This window comes from Homo sapiens, chromosome 2, assembly GCF_000001405.40.
Source record: "Homo sapiens chromosome 2, GRCh38.p14 Primary Assembly".
Classification (NCBI taxonomy): domain Eukaryota; kingdom Metazoa; phylum Chordata; class Mammalia; order Primates; family Hominidae; genus Homo; species Homo sapiens.
This window is the reverse complement of record NC_000002.12, coordinates 63,169,594-63,188,822: the sequence shown is the minus strand read 5'-3', so window position 1 is coordinate 63,188,822 and position 19,229 is coordinate 63,169,594. Positions and strand designations below refer to the sequence as shown.

General features: G+C 36.2%; 1 protein-coding gene across 18 annotated transcripts in view, besides 1 other annotated feature; it reads left to right on the top strand.

Annotated features, from left to right (window-relative positions):
• The window catches only part of WDPCP (WD repeat containing planar cell polarity effector), a 721,268-nt gene that overhangs the window by 652,004 nt on the left and 50,035 nt on the right, over positions 1–19,229 (top strand). For 16 of the 18 annotated variants that reach the window (NR_148705.2, NR_148704.2, NR_122106.2 and 13 more), the window contains one exon: positions 13,991–14,153. Coding sequence is in view for 13 of the 18 variants with exons in the window: in XM_047444629.1 (XP_047300585.1) it covers positions 13,991–14,153 (163 nt within the window). In the remaining 5 variants the exon portion in view is untranslated. Of the gene's footprint in view, positions 1–13,990; positions 14,154–19,229 lie in introns of those variants that run through there. The other 2 variants (XR_007076380.1, XR_007076379.1) reach the window with 1 other exon arrangement.
• Positions 2,742–3,243: an enhancer, noted in NCBI's record as "H3K27ac hESC enhancer chr2:63412715-63413216 (GRCh37/hg19 assembly coordinates)". NCBI's record gives its function as "activates a minimal SCP1, AML or CMV promoter by ChIP-STARR-seq in naive H9 embryonic stem cells {active_cell/tissue: H9 hESC(naive)}" and the evidence as "EXISTENCE:reporter gene assay evidence [ECO:0000049][PMID:30033119]".

Genomic DNA, 19,229 nt, shown 5'->3' with positions numbered 1-19,229 from the left:
AAATTAAGCTCCAGAAATTTGCCTTAAAGAAATGCAGATCTGTAAGCTTCCTAAAAAAGAATTTATAATAACTCTCATAAAGATGATCAAGACCTACAAGAGAACACAGAACTGCACAGAAATCAGGAAGACAATGCATGAACAAAATAAGAATATCAACAAAGAGAAACTATTTTCAAAAAATTATAAAGCCAGGCATGATGGCTCAAGCCTCTGATCCTAGCACTTTGGGAGGCTGAGAAGGGAGGATTGCTTGAGCTCAGGAGTTCAAGACTAGCCTGGGCAACATAGCAAGACCCTGTCTCTTGAAAAAAAAACAAAAATAAACTGTGGACCTGAAAAATATAAGTGAACTAAATAATTCACTAGAGGGGTTCAATGGCAGACTTAAGCAAGCAGAAGAATCAGTGTTCTTGAAGTTAGCACATTTGGAATTATTGAGACTGAGGAGAAAAAAGAAAAAAAATGAAGATAAATTAACAGAACCTGAGCAGAATAATATATGTAGTATAGGAGTCTCAAAAGGAGGAAAGAAAGAGAAAGGGACAAAGAGCTTATTTGAACAAACAGTGGCTACAGACTTCCCAAGGCTGATAAAAGAAATGGACCTACAAACTCAAAACTCAATGAACTCCAACTATGATAAACCTGAAGAGACCCATACCAAGACACATTATAATCAAACTGTTATGAGTCAAAGGAAGAATCTTGAAACCAGCCAGAGAAAAACAACTCATCACGTACAAGTGAGCCAACTAAGGTTATCAGCAGATTTCTCAATAGAAACCTTGAAGGCTAAAAAGAAATGGGATGATTAAAGTGCTAAAAGAAAAAAAAATCAACTAAGAATACTGTATCCAGCAAAACTGTCCTTCAGAAATGAAGAAGAAATGAAGACCTTTCCAGATAAACAAAAGCTGTTTAGTCAATGTTACTAGACAATAAATACTAAGGAGAGTTCCTCAAATTAAACAAAGGATGGTAGGCACCAACATAGTAATATGAAATTATAAAGTTCTCCACTAATGATAAACATTTAAATAAATATAGAATCCTATATTGTAATTCTAGTGCATAAATCCACTTTTAATTCTTGTATATACAAGTCTAAATGAGTAAATCACAGACACACACAATTATAAATCTATGTTAATTGGTACACAATATATATAACAGGTAATTTATGACAATAACATAAGGGGGGAAATGGCAGCTGTAAAGGAGAATTTGTGTATGCAATTGAAATTAAGTTATTAGCCTAAAATAGATTTGTTATAACTTTAAGATACTTTCTGCAATTGCAGTGGTAACCACAAAATATCCATACAATGCACACAAAAGGACAAAGAAGGGAGTCAAAGACAGACAGTAACAGAAGAATGAGGGTCCAAAAAGCCACAAGATATACAGGAAACAGGTAACAAAATGGCAACAGAAAATCCTTCCATATCGGTAATTACTTTAAAGTGAGGCAATTAAACCCCTCAGCCAAAAGACATATTGGCTAAATGGATAAAAAAAATAAAAATAGGATCCAGTGATATGCTGCATAGAAGCACTTTAGATCTAACACCACATAAAGGCTGAACTTGAAGGATGAAAAAAGATATGCTATGCAGACAATAACCAAAAGACAGCAGGGATATCTATACTAATATGAGGCAGAATAGACTTTAAGTCAAAAACTGTCACAAGAGACTAAGAAGGATACTATATAATGATTAAAGGGTCAATTCACCAGGATGATATAGTAATTATAAATATTTATGCACTAAATATCAGAGCTCTTAAATATGTGAAGCAAACATTGACAGAATTGAAGGGATAAATACATATCAACACAGTAATAGTAGGAGATTTCAATAGCCCACTTTCAATAATGGATAGGACCACCAGATATAAGATAAGATCAATAAAGAAATAAAGGACTTCTCTTTTTTTTCCCCCAAGGCGGCAGATCAGAGACTCTTTTAGCATGCTTCACCTATTTGGAAGCAAAAAAAAAAAAAAACACACACACACACAAAACAGTGCACAGTCATATAGTGCTCTTTTATTCAAGAAGGAGCACAGAAATTCAAATCCTGGAAAATAAAAGGTGAGAAGGCACCCTGAGTAGCAGCATCTGGCTGAGAACTGTGAGTGAAGTCCCCGATATGGTAGAGGAGCAAATTGTGTACCTCTGTGATCTACCTTTCCTCTGAGAAACCATGCCACCCAGGCCATGGGAAACTACCTCGGCCCTTCTAAGCCCTGGGGCTAACATGGCGAGAGGCCAGGAGACTGAGAAAGAAAAATGCTGGGAAATGCTCCAGTATTTTTCTCAGACCTGGGATCTAACAGGAGGATGCTCTTCTCAATCTTGGCTCACAACAAACTGGGCAGGATTCAGTAACCTGGCAACAGTAGCCATGGGCATTAGAGATTCTTGGGCTGGAGAATGGAGTGCTGGGACTGGAGGTGGGGAAGGGCCCCCACATCCAGAACTGAGTGGTGGTTGTGGAGTGCATTCAAGCCATGGGTTCTGAAATTGGGCTTTCCCCCTTTGTGGAACCAGAGAGGGAGGAGATTTGCTAGAGAGCCATGGTTTTCCCCAAGTGGCAAGATTTGTGGACAGGGATGGCACTGTGATCTAAAGCCAGTCTGCACTGACTTTCCTGAGTGCCCCAGCTCATGCCAGGGTGGGATTCAACTCCATTGGTTCTAAGGAGTGAGAGGGAGGCAGATTCCCACACCAGCTCACCTGGTCTAGGAGCTTTGGCTGCCCTGGTCTTCACATGTGAGGAACCTGGTGCAGCAGCAGTGTTTCTACCCTTTACTGGGCATATCTCCAGGCATTTGGTGACTGCTCCCTAAACTCTCCTCAGAGATAGTGGTTGCATTCACTGTTTGGGAGGTGGGGGGGCCGGGAGGTGGGAGCAGCGAAAGTGCAGGGTTGCCTGGTCCAGCTCTGCCCAGCTTCACACACTCTCTCAGGCTGAGGATAAAACCCAAACCACTGAGCATTCCATAATCCAGCCCATTGCCTGGGACACTGGAGAGTTTCTCTTGGTAAACAAAGATCAAGCATGAATTTTACTACTACCACCACAGCCAGCTCTTACTTACAAGTGCCACTGACTGGCCTGGAGGTCAACCTGCACAATACAGGACAAAATCTGGTAACACAAGCCCATAGCACTTATGAATGAGATGAGCTCCTTGTGACCTATAACCCTGGCTTCACAGGAGGTCATGCGCCTGCTCACCTGCCTGGTATACCGCTACTACAAACAGCATTTGAAAAAGCCACCACATGATGGTAATTTACAACCAAGGAATTCATACATAGTCTTTGCCACTGAATGCACCCGGAAGCAAAGCCAAACAGCCCTGCACAACATATATTACAGTCACATCCTCAAGGATTTGGGGGTGGGGGAGAGGGGGGGAAGTCCTGTCCAAACCCAAGTAAATTCAATAATAAGAAGTGACTATTTCTCCAAATGAGAAAAAATCTGCATAATACTGGAAGCATGAAAAGTCAAGTCAGGGAGTTATGACACCCCTCAAAGGATTACACTAACTCTCTAGCAATGGATGCTGACCAAAAGGAAATTTCTGAAATGCCAGATAAAGAATTCAAAATATTGATTTTATAGAAGCTCAATCAGATCCAAAAGAAATCCAAAAACCAATAGAAAGAAATCAGAAAATTAATTCTGGATATGAATGAGAAATTTATCACGGAGAACTTCACCAGTTTTTTCTTATCTAAAAATGAACAAACATAACTTTTGGAAATGAAAAATTCACTGAAGGAATTACAAAATATGGCTGAAAGGGTCAATAACTGACTAGATAAAGCAGAAGACAAAATCTCAAAATTTGAAGAAAATCCTTTGAATTAATCTAGTTAGACAAAGAAAAAAGAATAAAATAGAATGAATATTTTGAGAAGCATGGGATTATATAAAGAATCTAAACTTACGAATCATTGGTGTTCCTGAGGGGGAAGAAAAAACAAAGTTTTGAAAATCATTTAAGGAAATAATAGATGAAAATTTCCCTAATTTTATAAGAGATTTAGACATGCAAATACAAGAGGCCAAATGAATACTAGGAGAACACACTGCCAGGTGGATTTCACCACAACGTATAGTCATTAAATTGTCTAAAATTAATATAAAGGAAGAAATCCTAAAATCAGCAAGAGAAAATCATCTAGTCACTTGTAAAGGAAGCTCCATCAGACTAACGGTGGACTTCTCAGTGGGAACTTTATAAGCCAGTAAAAGATTGGGATTCTATTTTCAATGTGCTTAAAGGAAAAAAAAATTGTCAACCACAGATTTTGTATTCTGCTAAAATAAGTTTCATAAATAAAGGAGAAATAAGGTACTTCCCAAACACTGATGGAATTTATCACCACTAGACGAACCCTATAAAAATATTCAAAGGAGTTCTAAACATGGAACAAAATGGTCAATGTTTGCCATCATAAAAAATACACAAAACTATAAAACTCACAGGTCTTATAAAAACAGTTAGTTACACAAAGGAGGAAGAGAAAGAAATCAAATTACAACAGGACAGAACTCCACCAAACAACAAAGACAAACAGAAAGAGGGAAAAAAAGATGCAAATAATGTACAAAGCAATTTGATAACAATTAACATTATGATAGAAACAAACCTCACATATAACTATGAACATTGTACATAAGTAGATAAAATGCTTAATTTAAAAGGTATAGATTGGCAGATGGGTTTTTTAAAATATGAACCATATTTTCATAAGAACTATAAGAAACTCCCCATATTGGTAAAGATTCTTATAGCCTGAAGGTAAAGGACTAGAAACAGATCTCCTGCACAAACAGAAACTAAAAGTGAGCAGGAGTATCTACGCTTATATCAGATAAAACAGACTTTTAATCAACAAAAGTAAAAAAAAGACAAAGTCAGTCATTATATAATGTAAAGGGATCAATTCTACAAAAGGACATAAAAATCCTGAATATATACACACCAAACACTGGAGCAGTCAGAGTCACAAAACAAATATTACTGGACATAAAGAGATAGACAGCAATATAATAATGGTGGGAGACTTCAACACTGTACCTGTAGCAGTTCACAGATCATTGAGACAGAAAAACAAGGAAACACTGGGCTTAAATTGATCTTGAGACCAAATGTACCTGACAGACATTTACAGAACACTCTACCCAACAACAGCGGAATATAGATTCTTCTCATCAGTGCATGCAGCATTCTCAAACACAGACCATATATTAGGTCACAAAACAAATCTCAATAAATTTTTAAAAATTGAAATCATACCAAGTATTTTCTCAGACCACAGAAAAATAAAACTATAAATCAATACCAGGAGGAACTGTTGAAACTATACAAATACATGGAAATTGGATAACATATCCCTGAATGGTCTTTAGGTCAAAGACAAAATTAAGATGGAAACTTAAAAATTTTTAGAAATGAATGAAAATGAAAACAACATACCAAAACCTCTGGGATACAGCAAAAGCAGTGCTAAGAGGGAAGTTTATAGCATTAAATGCTTACAGCCAAAGAACAGAAAAATCAAATTAACAACCTAACATCACACCTCAAGGAACTAGAAAAAAAAGAACAAAGAAAACTCAAAGCTAACAGAAAACAAATAACAAATCAGGGAAGAAGTAAATGAAATTGTGAACAAAAGAACATTATAAAGGGTCAAAGAAACAGAAAGTTGGTTCGTTGATAAAATAAAGTTGACAAACTGCTAGCTAGACTAATCAAGAAAAGAAGACAGAAGATCCAATAAACAATCAGAAATTTAAAAGGAGACATTAGAACTGATACCACAATACAAGTGATCATCAAAGACTACCATGAACACCTCTACACTCACAAACTAGAAAATCTAGAAGACATATAAATTCCTGGAAACATAAAACCACCCGAGATTGAACACATAGAAATCCTAAGCAGACCAATAACAAGTAGTGACACTTAATCAGTAACAAAAAAGTCTCCTAAGGAAAAAAAAAAAAAAAAAAAGTCCAGGGCCAAATGGATTCACAGCCAAATTCTACCAAATCTACAAAGAACTGGTACCAATGCCCTCTGAAATGCTTCCAAAACTTCAATGAGAAGGGAAGCCTCCCTGACTCATTCTACAGAGCCAGTATTATTCTGATACTAAAGCCGGACTAGCACACAACAAAAAATGAAAACTATAGACCAAAATCTCTGATGAACATAGATGCAAAAATCTGCAGCAAAGTACTAGCAAACCCAATACAACAGCACATCAAAAACATAATACATCACAATCAAATGGTTTTATTCCAAAGATGCAAGTATAGTTCAACATACTCAAGTAAACAAATTTGATTCATTACATAAGGAGAATTAAAAACAAACTATATAAATATCTCAATAGATACAGAAAAAGCATTTGATAAAATTAAGGATCCTTTTGTGATAAAATCCTCAACAAACTAGGCATAGAGGGAACATACTGCAAAATAATAAAAGCAATATATGATAAGACCACAGAAAACATTATACTAAACAGGGAAAATTTGAAAGCAGTCTCCCGAAGAACTGGAACAAGACAATGATGACCACTTTCACCACTCCTATTCAACATACTAGAAGCCCAAGCCAGAGCAATCAGGCAAGAGAAGAAATAAAAGGCATCCAAATTTGGAAAAGATGAAGTCAACTTATCTCTGTTTGCTCATGATATGATCTTATACCTAGAAAATCCCAAAGACTCCCAGATTTCATAAGTTCAGTAAAGTTTCAGAATATGAAATTGGTGTACAAAAATCAGTGTCATTTCTATACATCAACAACAAACTGAGAACCAAATCAAGAACTACAATAGCTACAAAAAAAGTAAAATATTTAGGAATATATTTTAAACAAGGGGGTGAAAGATCTTTACAAGGAAAACTACAAAACACTGATGATAGAAATCATACATGACACAAATGGAAAAACCTCCCATGTTCATGGATCACAAAAATCAATATCATTAAAAAAAAACCATACAGATGTATAGATTGAATGTAATTCCTATTTTTAAAATGTAATTTTTCATAGAATTAGAAAAAACAATCCTAAAATTCATATAGAATGAAAAAAGAGCCTGAATATCCAAAGCAATTGTAAGCAAAAAGAACAAAGCTGGAGGCATCACATTACCTGACTTCAAATTATACTATGAGGTTACAGTAACCAAAACAGCATGGTACTTGTATAAAAATAGACATACAGATCAATGTAACAGAATAGAGAACTCAGAAATAAAGCCATATACCTACAGACAACTGATCTTTGACAATGTCAACACAAACATACCCTGAGGAAAGGACATCCTTTACAATAAGTGGTGCTAGGAAAATTGGATTACCTGTGCAGAAGAATGAAACTGGACTTCTGTCTCTCACCATCTACAAGCCAACTCAAGATCAATTAAAAGCTTAAATGTAAGACCTGAAACTATAAAAATACTAGAAGAAAACCTACGGAAAACTCCTCTGGACATTGGCCTAGATGAGCAATTTATGACTAAGGCCTCGAAAGCAAATGCAACAAAAACACAAATAGACAAATGGGACTTAATTCAACTAAAGAGCTTCTGCAAAGCGAAAAGAAATAAGAGAACAGACAATGTGTAGAATGGGAGAAAACATTTACAAACTATGCATACAACAAGGGACTAATATACAAGGAACTCAAACAACTCAACAACAACAAAAACAAATAAAAGAACATAAATATTTTCTCATCCTTTACCCACCTCCTACACTACTGAATGGGCAAAGAACATGAATATTTTTTCAAAAGAAAACATACAAATGTCTAACCTGCATATGAAAAAATTTTTAACATCACTCACAATCAGAGAAATGCAAATTAAAACCACAATGACATATTTCACGCAAGTCATAATGGCTAATACTAAAAATTCAAAAAATAACATGTTGGTAAGGATGCAGAGAAAATGGAACACTTACACACTGTTAGTGGGAATGTAAATTAGTATAACCTGTATGGAAAACCGTATGGAGATTTCTCATAGAACTGCAAATAGAACTGCCATTCTAGGCAGCAATCCCACTACTGGCTATCTACCCAAAGGAAAAATAATTAGATCTAAAAGATACCCACACTCATATGTTTATCACTGCACTATTCACAATACCAAAGAGATGGAATCACCTACGTTTACATCAGTGAAGGACTAGATACAGAAAATGTAGTATATATGTGCAATGGAATACTACTCAGCCATATAAAAGAATAAAATCATCTTTTGCAGCAACATTGATGGAACTGGAGGCTATAATCTTAAGTGAAATAACTCAGAAACAGAAAGTCAAACACCACATGTTCTCACAAGTGAGAGCTAAATAATGTGTACATATGGACATAAAGTATGGAATAATGGACACTGGAGATTCAGTAGTGTAGGAGGTGGGTAAAGGATGAGAAATAAATTAATGGGTACTATGTATATTATTCAGGTGGTGGTTACACTAAATGGCCAGACTTTACCACTACACAGTATATCCATGTAACAAAACTGCACTTGTACCCCTTAAATGCATACCAAAAAAAAGTAATAGAGGTCTTCAACAACACAGTTACCACCCTCCCACTGTTCTGAGGCTCCAGTGTCTATTATTGTACACTCTATTTCCATGTGTTCACAGTATTTAGCTCCTATTTATAAATGAGAACATATGGTATTTGACTTTCTGTTTTCTGAGTTATTTCACTTAAGATAATGACCTCCAGGTCTATATAAAGAACAGAACATATACAGAACACTCACCCATCAACTGCAAAAAAAACACATTATTTTCAAGTGCACATGGAACATTCTCCAAAACAGACCACATGAAGGCCACAAAACAAATCTTAACAAATTTTAAAAGACAGCAATCACAGAAAATATCTTCTCTGATTACAGTGAAATGACACTACACATCAACAACAGAAGGAAAACTGGAAAATCCACAAATACATGAAAATTAAGCAATGCACTCTTAAACAACAGGTCAAAGAAGAAATCACAAGGAAAATTAGAAAGCCTCTTGAGACAAATGAAAATGAAAAAAATGTTCCTGTGTTAGGCCATTCTTGGATTGCTATAAAGGAATACTCCAGACTGGGTAATTCATAAAGAAAAGAAGTTTTATTGATAGTTCTGCAGGCTCTACAAGCACAGTGCTGGCATCTACTCAGCTTCTGAGGAGGCCTTAGGGAGCTTTTCCTCATGGCAGAAGGTGAAATGGGAAGAGCAAGGGAAGGCTGGAGAAGGAGAAAGAGAAGGGGGAGGTGCCACACACTTTTAAACAGCCAGATCTCATGAGAACTCACTATTGCAAAGACAGCACCAAGGGGATGGTGCTAAACCATTTATGAGAAATCTGCCCCCATAATCCAGTCACCTTCCATTTCACCTTCCTCCATGAGGAAAAGTTCCCTGAGTCCTCCCCAGAAGCTGAGCAGATGCCAGCATCATGCATGTATAGCCTGCAGAACAATGAGTCAATTAAACCCCTTTTCTTTATAAATTACCCAGTCTCTGATATTTCTTTTTTTTTTTTCCCCCCGAGACAGGGTCTCACTCTGTCACCCAGGCTGGAGTGCAGTGGTGCAGTCTCAGCTCACTGCAACCTCCATTTCCCTGGTCAAGCGATTCTCCAGCCTCAAATTCCTGAGTAACTGCAACTACAGGCATGAGCTACCACGCCTAGGTAATTTTTGTACTTTTTGTAGAAATGGGGTTTTGACATGTTGCTCAGGTTGTATGGTATTTCTTTATAGTGATGCAAGAACAGCCTAATACAAGGTCCCACCTCCAACACTGGGGATTACATCTCAACATGAGATTTGGAGGGAACATCCAAGCCATATCAGTGCCCAAACTTGTGAGACGCAGTGAAAACAGTACTAACAGAGAAGTTTATGGCTATGTTTACATTAAAAAAGAAGAAAGATTGAAAATTAATAACCTAACTTTGTACCTTAAGAAACTGAAAAGAAAGAAAAACAAACTAAACCCAAAGCTAACAGAAGAAAATAATAAAGTTTAGAGCAAAGATCAATGAAATACAGAATACAAAAGCAATAGAAAAAAATCAACAAAACTTAAGAGGTGGTTTTTCTAAAATATCTACAAAACTGACCAATTATTAGGTATACTAATTAAAAAAAAGAGAGAAGACTCAAATAACTAAAATCAAAAGTGAAAGAGGGGATATTACAGCCAATACGACATAAAATAAAGAGGGTTGTAAGAGAATATTACAAACAGTCATATGCCAACAAACTGGAAAACTTACATAAATGGACAAAATCTTTTAAACACACAACTAACCAAGATTGGATAATGAAGAATTACATAATCTGGACAGACTTACAACTATTAAAGAGATTGCATCAGTAACCAATACTCCACACAAAGAAAAGCCCAAGACCTCATGCCTTCATTAGAATATTCCAGCAAATATTTAAAGAATTAGCACCCATTCTCCTCAAACTCTTCCAAAAAAATTAAAAGAAGGGAAAATCCCAAATTCATTATATAAGGCCAGCATTACCCTAGTAACAAAGCCAGATGAAGACAAAGAAAACTACAGACCAACGTTCTTGATAGATATTGGAGCAAAAGTCATTAACAAAATACCAGCCAACGAAATTCTTAGGCATAGTAAAAAGATAATACACCATGATCAAGTAAAATTTACTGATGTAAAGTAAGGATGGTTCAACATAAGAAAATCATTCTAATCACATTAACAGAATGAAAGATGAGAACTACATAATCATCTCAATTGATACACACACAAAAAAGCATTTGACAAAATTTGATGTTCTTTCATGCTAAAAATGTTCAACAAACTAGGATGTAAGGAAACTATTAATACTCCAACATAATAAAGGCTATACATGAAAAGACCACAGGTAACATCAGTCTCAATGGTGAAAAACTGAAAGCCCTTTCTCTAGGATCAGGAACAAGACAAAGATGCCTGCTTTCACCCCTTCTATTTAACATAATACTGGAATGTCCTAGTCAAAGCAATTATGCAAGTGAAATAAAAGGCACCAAAATCAGAAAGGAAGTAAAATTGTCTCTGGTTATAGATATCTTAATTTCCTATGCAGCAAGCCCTAAAGATCCCATTTAAACTTTAGAATAATTGAATTCAGCAAAGTTGCAAGATACAAGTCAACATACAAAAATTCATTGCATTTCTGACACTAAAAATGAGCAATCTGCAAAGGACAGCAAGAAAACAATTTCATTTACAATAGCATCAAAAAGAATAAAATACTTTGGAATAAACCTAACCAAGGAGGTAAAAGACTTAAAACTAGAAAACACTGCTGATAGGTATTAAAGACACAAATAAATTGAAAGACATCCAATATTCATGGATTGGAATACTTCATGTTGTTAAAATGTCAGTATTGCCCAAGGTAATCTACCAATTCAGTGCAATCCCTATCAAAATCCCAATGGCATCTTTGGAAATATAGAAAAATCCATTTAAAAATTCATATGGAATCACAAGAGATGCTGAATAGCCAGAACAATCTTCAAAAGGGAAAAAGAGGTCTTTCTGATTCAAAACATATTACAAGGCTACAGTAATCTAAACATTAGTACTGGCATAAACACAGACATATAGACCAACAAAAATGAACAGAATTGAGAGCCCAGATATAAACCATTAACCATATGGTCAAACAATTTTTGACAGATGTCAACACCATTCAATGCAAAAGGAACTATCTCTTCAACAAACGTTGCTGGGAAACTGGATATCCCCATGCAAAAGAGCAAGTTGGACCCTTTTGTTACACCACAAACAAAAATTAACTCAAAATGAATTAAAGACCTAAACATAAGAAACAAAAGTATAAAACTGCTAGAAGAAAACATTAGAGAAAAGCTTCATGATATTGGATATGACAATGATTTCTTGTATGTGACACCAAAAGCATAGGCAACAAAAGCAAAATAGACAAATGGGACTACAAATGGGGCTTAATCCAACTTAAAAACTTTTATGCATTAAAGGACACAATAAAGTACCAATAAAGTGAACAGACAGCCTAAGGAATGGGAGAAAATATTTGCAAATCTGACAAAGCATTAATATCTAGACTACATACAGAGCTCCTACAACTTAAAAACAAAAACAACCTAATTAAAAATGGGCAAGGGGGCTGGGTGCCATGGCTCATGCCTGTAATGCCAGCACTTTGGGAGGCAGGATTACAGGCATGAGCCACCACAGGAAGTGGGAAGATTGCTTGACCCCAGGAGTTCAAGACCAGCCTGGGCAACCTAGTGAAAGCCCCTCTCTACAATAATGTTTTTTTTAAATGAGTCATGCATTGTGGTACACACCTGTAGTCCCAGCTACTCAAGAGGGCTGAGGTGGGAGGATCACTTGAGCCTGAGAGGTCAAGACTTTAGTGAGCCATGATTGTGATACTGCACTCCAGCCTGGGCAACAGAGTGAGACTCTGTCTCAAAGAAAAAAAGGACAAGTGACTTGAATCCACATTTCTTCAGTGAAGGTATACAAATGACCAACAAGCATATAAAAAGATGCTCAGTATCACTTATTAGAGAAATGCAAATCAAAACCATAAGGTAGCATGTCACATTCATTAGGATGACTAGTTTTAAAAAAACAGAAAATAACAAGTTTGTCAAGGATTTGGAGAAATTAGAATCTTTGTGCACTGTTGGTAGGATTGTAAAATGGTGAACCACAATGAAAACAGTATGGCATTTCCTCAAAAATTTAAAGATAGATCCACTGTATGATAGGCAATCCCCCTTCTGAGTATATGTCCAAAAGCACTGATAGCAGGGTCTCGGAGATATCTGCACATCCATGTTCATAGCAGCATTATTCACAATAGCCAAGAGGTGGAAGCAACCCAAATGTCAATAGATAGAGAATGGAAAAACAAAGCATGGTATATACATACAACAGCTTACTATTCAGTCTTAAAAAGGAAGAAATCTTGTCACATACTACAACACGGATAAACCTTGAGGACATTATGCTAAGTGAAATAAGCCAGTGACAAAAACGTGAATACTGTATGATACCACTTATACAAGATCTAAAGTTATCAAATTCATAGAAACAGAAAATAACACGTTGGTTATCAAACTGGGAGAGGGGCAAATGGGGAATTGTACAATGGGTGCAGTTTCAGTTTTGCAAGACAAAAAAGTTCTGGAGATTTGCTTCACAACAATGTGAATACACTTAACACTATTGAACTGTATGCTTTAAAATGTTTAAGATGGTAAAAAATATGTTTTGCCATACACGGTGGTCCTAAGAGGTTTTTTTTTTTGGTTTTTAATAAGGTTTATGTTTCTTACAAAAAATATATTTTTCACAGCTTCATTATGTTTCAAACAACATTTTTAAACAATGCCCTGTCAAAGTTGCCAATATCTCTCTATACACCTCTGTACATCTCTAAGATATGGGAGTATATATCTCCCTATAAAGTTTAAAATGCTAATTGAAAGCAAATATTGGGAAAGATATTTTCCTTTTCTTTTCAAGTTATGTGCTATATGTGAAAGAGTAAAATCACTTCCTGCAATATTCCAAGATAAAATATTCCAGTAATTGGCTAACAAAAACAAAAAAATTTTATAAATAATATGCTCGTTAAAAACACTACACATAAGCAAGATATAAATGAATTTTTTAAAATCTATACTTGAAAACATTCACTATTCTGTTATCAAACTGCTGAAGTAAGTATAAGAATGACAGAAGTCATAGGGAACTAGGACAACAAGATTTTGAAATTGACAAAGAAAAAAGTTCCACTGGGATATGTGAATGTTGTTCTGTAATCTTACTTATAAGGGAGTTAGCAGAAATTGTACTTAGTATTTCACTCACATATTAATCATTTTCAACAGAACTCCTGGGACCCTTGGACAGAGGGGATATGCTAAATGAAGCATTTATTGGCCTGTCTTTAGCACCTCAAGGAGAAGACTCATTTCCAGATAACCTCCCTCCCTCTTGCCCAACCCACAGACATATTTTACAACAAAGAATACTGAATGGCTCTTCTAACAGGTAAGAAATGTTGAACTGAGGAAATTGCTCCATAAAGTATTTAGTATTACCTGTTCAAATGCGAACTAATAGCAAAGCAAGAATATTTCAAAATGTCAAGGAGAAAAATTTGCATTTCTCATGGCTCAGACTTTGCAGTAGTTTGGTTATTTGGAGCAGGCATAATGAATGGCAGAAGTGAATGTAAAAATAATATTGCTACAATAAATGTTACTCTGGGCCAAAATGAAATTACTATAACATATTGAATTGTTTGTATTCTGCTGTTAAATTCTAGGATTGTTAGGCTACCTTTAATAAATATTAATTTTTAGAATATGTAGTTTGAATTATAATTTATATAATATTTATTTAATGCAAGTTTACCATTAGTTTTTGAAATCTGATAAATGATAGTTTAAATATCTGATATCTGTCCAGTTTGCTACATGGGGTTATTGAGAAGATAAAGAATAAATATGAAATTTAAAAAACAAACAAAAGTAATAATGTTATTTAAAGTGATAATTATAATATTAATTATGATAATGATTCTCTCAAGCAAGGGTCAGCAAGCTTTTTGTGTAAAGGGCTAAAGAGCAAATATTTTAGGCTTTGCAGCCCAGACAAACTTTTGCAACTACTCAATCCTGCTGTTACAGTAAAAAAGTGGCCACAGACAATATATAAATGAATGAGAATGGCAGTGTTACAATAAAACTTCATAAAAATAGGCAGTGGGTCAGATCTGTTCCCTGGTTTATGCATAACATCCCTGCTTTTGAGGATCCTATTTTCAGTAATTGTAAAGAGGCCACATTAAAAAATACGTATATATCAATTATACATACCCACCTATAATACCCTCAAGAAAAATGCCTCAAACTGTACACATTAACAGCAAATAAAGAGGGGGAGGATTTCCAAGTATCAAAGAGTTTATTTGGATATCAGCAAATCCTCTCCCCAAGAAACAAATATAAAACTAGACAAAAGCCATCATTTCTGGGCTTTGGAAATCACACAAAGGCAAACAACAAATTGAGAAGCATTTATTCATGAAAAATTGCTGAACTTCTAGTAATAAAGTAGAAGTCTCTTATTTTCTTGCCTGTAGCTGCTTCCATCCTCCTGCCCATCCCCAAACTAATTCTACCATGGTAGGACTGGCTTTGAAAACCAACAGCTGACTTGAGCTGAGGGTGGGAGAACTCTGCCTAGCAGCATTGTCTAATAAAAGTAGCAAACTATTGTCAGTAAAATTGACAAACTTGATAGGAAATGCCAGTTCTGCTCGCCTCATTAGGGCAAGTGACAGAATGGCAAACTAGCCAAAAATTCAACAGGGAGAGGCTGGAAATGAGAAAAACAAAGAGGGGCTAATTAAGCTCTCCACAATTTTTTCTTTTTTTTTTTTTTTTTGCGACAGAGTTTCGCTCTAGTTGCCCAGGCTGGAGTGCAATGGCATGACCTCAGCTCACTGCAACCCCCACCTCCTGGGTTCACGCGACTCTCCTGCTTCACCCTCCATAGTAGCTGGGATTACAGGTGCCCACCACTGTGCCCTGCTAATTTTTTATTTTTTATTTTTAGTAGAGACAGGGTTTCACCATGTTGGCCAGGCTGGTCTCAAACTCCTGACCTCAGGTGATCCAGCCGCCTCAGCCTCCCAAAGTGCTAGGATTACAGGCATGAGCAACCACACCCAGCCCACAAATTCTTGATGGGATTGTATGACCTCTCATTTTTTGGTTTTCTCTTGTCCAGTATTTTCCTCCTTATGCTTCTTTCTTCCTTCACACCCAAATGCCAAAAGTGCCCCTCTCTTTCTGCCTTTTCCCTGAGAAGCTATCCTTTTTGAAAACTGCCTCTTCAGATTGCATGGTACTTTATAGCGTCTTCCCTGTAGTCCATGCTCCGATGTACCAGAATATCAGGAGCTAGAGAGATCATGCATTGGCATTTGGTGTTTTTTCCATTTTATTTACAATTATTTTGAAGTTTGGACATTCTCTGTCTTCAAGTCATGCTAAGAACATGATTGTCATGTAGTTTCATTTTTCCTTGTATAATGTTCTGTATTGTTTATAAAATAAGTATTGGGAGCTAGAACATAGGCTACTGCTGTTATCTTCAGCTACCTAGAAGTCCTACCTCTTTATTATTATTTTTTGGAGGGGTGGGGGGCGGCATCTCAGTCTGTCACCCAAGCTGGAATGCAGTGGTGCGATCATGGCTTACTGCAGCCTTGACCTCCCAGGCTCAGGTGATTATCCCACCTCAGCCTCCCGAGCAACTGCAACTACAGGCACGTGCCACCATACCGGGCTAATTTTTGTATTTTTTCTGTAGAAACAGGGTTTCACCATGTTGCCCAGGCAGGTCTCAGACTCCTGGGCTCAAGTGATCCTTTTGCCTCGGCCTTTCAAAGTGCTGGGATTACAGGCGTGAGCCACCATATCTGGATACTTCTTTAGAAACAATTTTACTGAGATATAACTTACATATACCATAAATTCACCCATTGTAAGTATACAAGTCAGTGATATTTGGTAAATTTATAAAGCTGTATGACCATCACCACAGTTTAGGTTTAGAGCATTTCCATCACCCCCAAATAGTTCCCTTATGCCCAATTTCCACTCTCCTAACCCAGCCTGAGGCAAACATTGCTCTGCTTTCTGTCTCTAGAGAAATTTTATAAAAATGAAATCATATAATCTGGACATTTCATATAAATGAAGTCATACAATATATTGTCTTTTGTATCTGGCTTCTTTCACTTAGCATTATGTTACTGAGGCTCATGTAATGTGTAGTTTATTCCTTCTTAATTGCTGAATAGTATTCTATTACATGGATGTGCCACATTTTGCTTATCCACTCACCAGCTGATGGTATCTGGGTTATTTCCATTTTGGGGCTATTATGAATAATGTTGCTGTAAACATTCACATTTAAGTTTCTAAGTGGACATATATTTTCATTTCTCTTGGGCAGATATCTAGGAATTGAATTGCTGGGTCTTATTCTAAGTTTATATTTAATTCGCTAGTTTTAAGAAACTGCCAAATTGTTTTCCAAAGTGCCTGTAACATTTTACATACCCACCAGCAATATATAAGGGTTCCAATTTCTCAGTATCCTCACCAATATTTAATATTGTCAATGTTTTTTTATTATAACTATTCTGTTGGGTGAAGAATGGTATCTAATTGTAGCTTTAATTTGCATTTCCCTAACAACTAATGATGTTGAACATTTCTTATTTGCTCATTAGCATTCTTTGTTGTTATAGCTATTCAAATTTGTTGTCCATTCTTTAGTTGTCTTGTTATTGAATTGTAAGATACTTCTATGTATTCTGAATACAAGTTCCTTATTAAATACCTGATGTGCAAGTATTTTCTCCGTCTGTGATCTGCCTTTTCATTTTCCAGTAGTGTCTTTTGAAGTGCAAAAGTTTCCAAATTTTGGTGAAGCCAAGGATAGCAATTTTTTCTTTTTTTGATTGTCTTTTATGTGTTGTACTTAAATTTCTTTCTAATCTGAAAATGTGGATATTTTCTCATGTTTTCTTCTAGAAGTTTTATAGTTCCAGCTCTTAAAGTCCATTTTGAGTTAATTTTTATGTAGGATGTGAATAAGGGTCTAAGGTCATTATGTAGTACATAGAAATACACGTTTCCCCAGTATTTTTTTGAGGAAGAAAAAAAACTCATTTTCCCCACTGAATTGCCTTTACACCTTCATCAAAAATCAACTGACTATAGGTGTTAAGTGTTTATTTCTGGATTTGTCATTCTGCTCTATTGATCTATATGTCTATTCGATGAATATATGCTAACAAGTGCCTAGACTTTGCTCTACTGAGGACCCCACTGAACTAGGATCTCACAAAACATAGCCAATACCACAAAAATAAGCAGGAAAAAGATGAACAGTTTCATACAAAGTAACAGAAAATGAAAACTACACACATCAGTTAAGGAAAATTATCCTCCCCCAAAACAATCATGATGTCAAAGAAAACTGTATAACACCACACCAGGCAGAATTAGATACATTGGAATAAGCAACTGGGTATATTGAAACCCACTCTGAATTATAAAGACAAAATGAGGCCAGGCACGGTGGCTCACGCCTGTAATACCAGCACTTTGGGAGGCTGAGGCGGATCACCTGAGGTCAGGAGTTCAAGACCAGCCTGGCCAACATGGTGAAACCCCATCTCTACTAAAAATATAAAAATTAGCCTGGTGTGATGGCACATGTCTGTAATCCCAGCTCCTTGGGAGGCTGAGGCAGGGGAATTGCTTGAACCCAGGAGGCGGAGGTTGCAGTGAGCTGAGATTGCACCATTGCACTCCAGCCAGGGTGACAGAGTGAGACTCCATCTCAGAAAAAAAAAAAAGAAAGAAAGAAAAAGAAAAAAATGGAAAATAGAAATGGACAGGAGAGGAGGAGGGAGGGATGGAAGAAGACACCAAGAAAATTGTCCAGGTGTGGTGGCTTGCACCTGTAATCCAAACACTTTGGGAGGCCAAGGTGGGAGGATCCCTTGAGCCCAGGGACTCAAGACCAGCCTGGGCAACATAGCGAGACCTCATCTCTACTGAAAAAAAAAAAAATTAGCCTGGCATGGTGGTCCACGCCTGCAGTCCCAGCTACTTGGGAGACTGAGGTAGGAGGATCGCTTGGGGCCCTAAACATTAAGGCTTCAATGAGTCCTGATTATGCCACTGCACTCCAGCCTGGGTGGCAGAGTGATAGGGTCTCAAAAAAAAAAAAAGTCCACTGAAACAAATAAATGAAAATAAAAAGCATAATATTATCCAAAAATGAAAAATAAGTTACAGGGTACCCAAATGAGAATAAACTCATAATAAAACTTAATTAAAAACATTGAAAATGGCGGAAAACAAAAGAAAATGAGAAGTAAAAAAGTCAAAGAAAAAGTAATGGAATGGGAGATAAGACAGAGAAGCAACAGCGTTTGTATAATTGGATTCCTTGAAAAAGAAAAAATAAAACAATGTAACAGATACTTGAAACTAAAAATCCAAGAAAATGTTGCAAAATATATTCATGTACTTT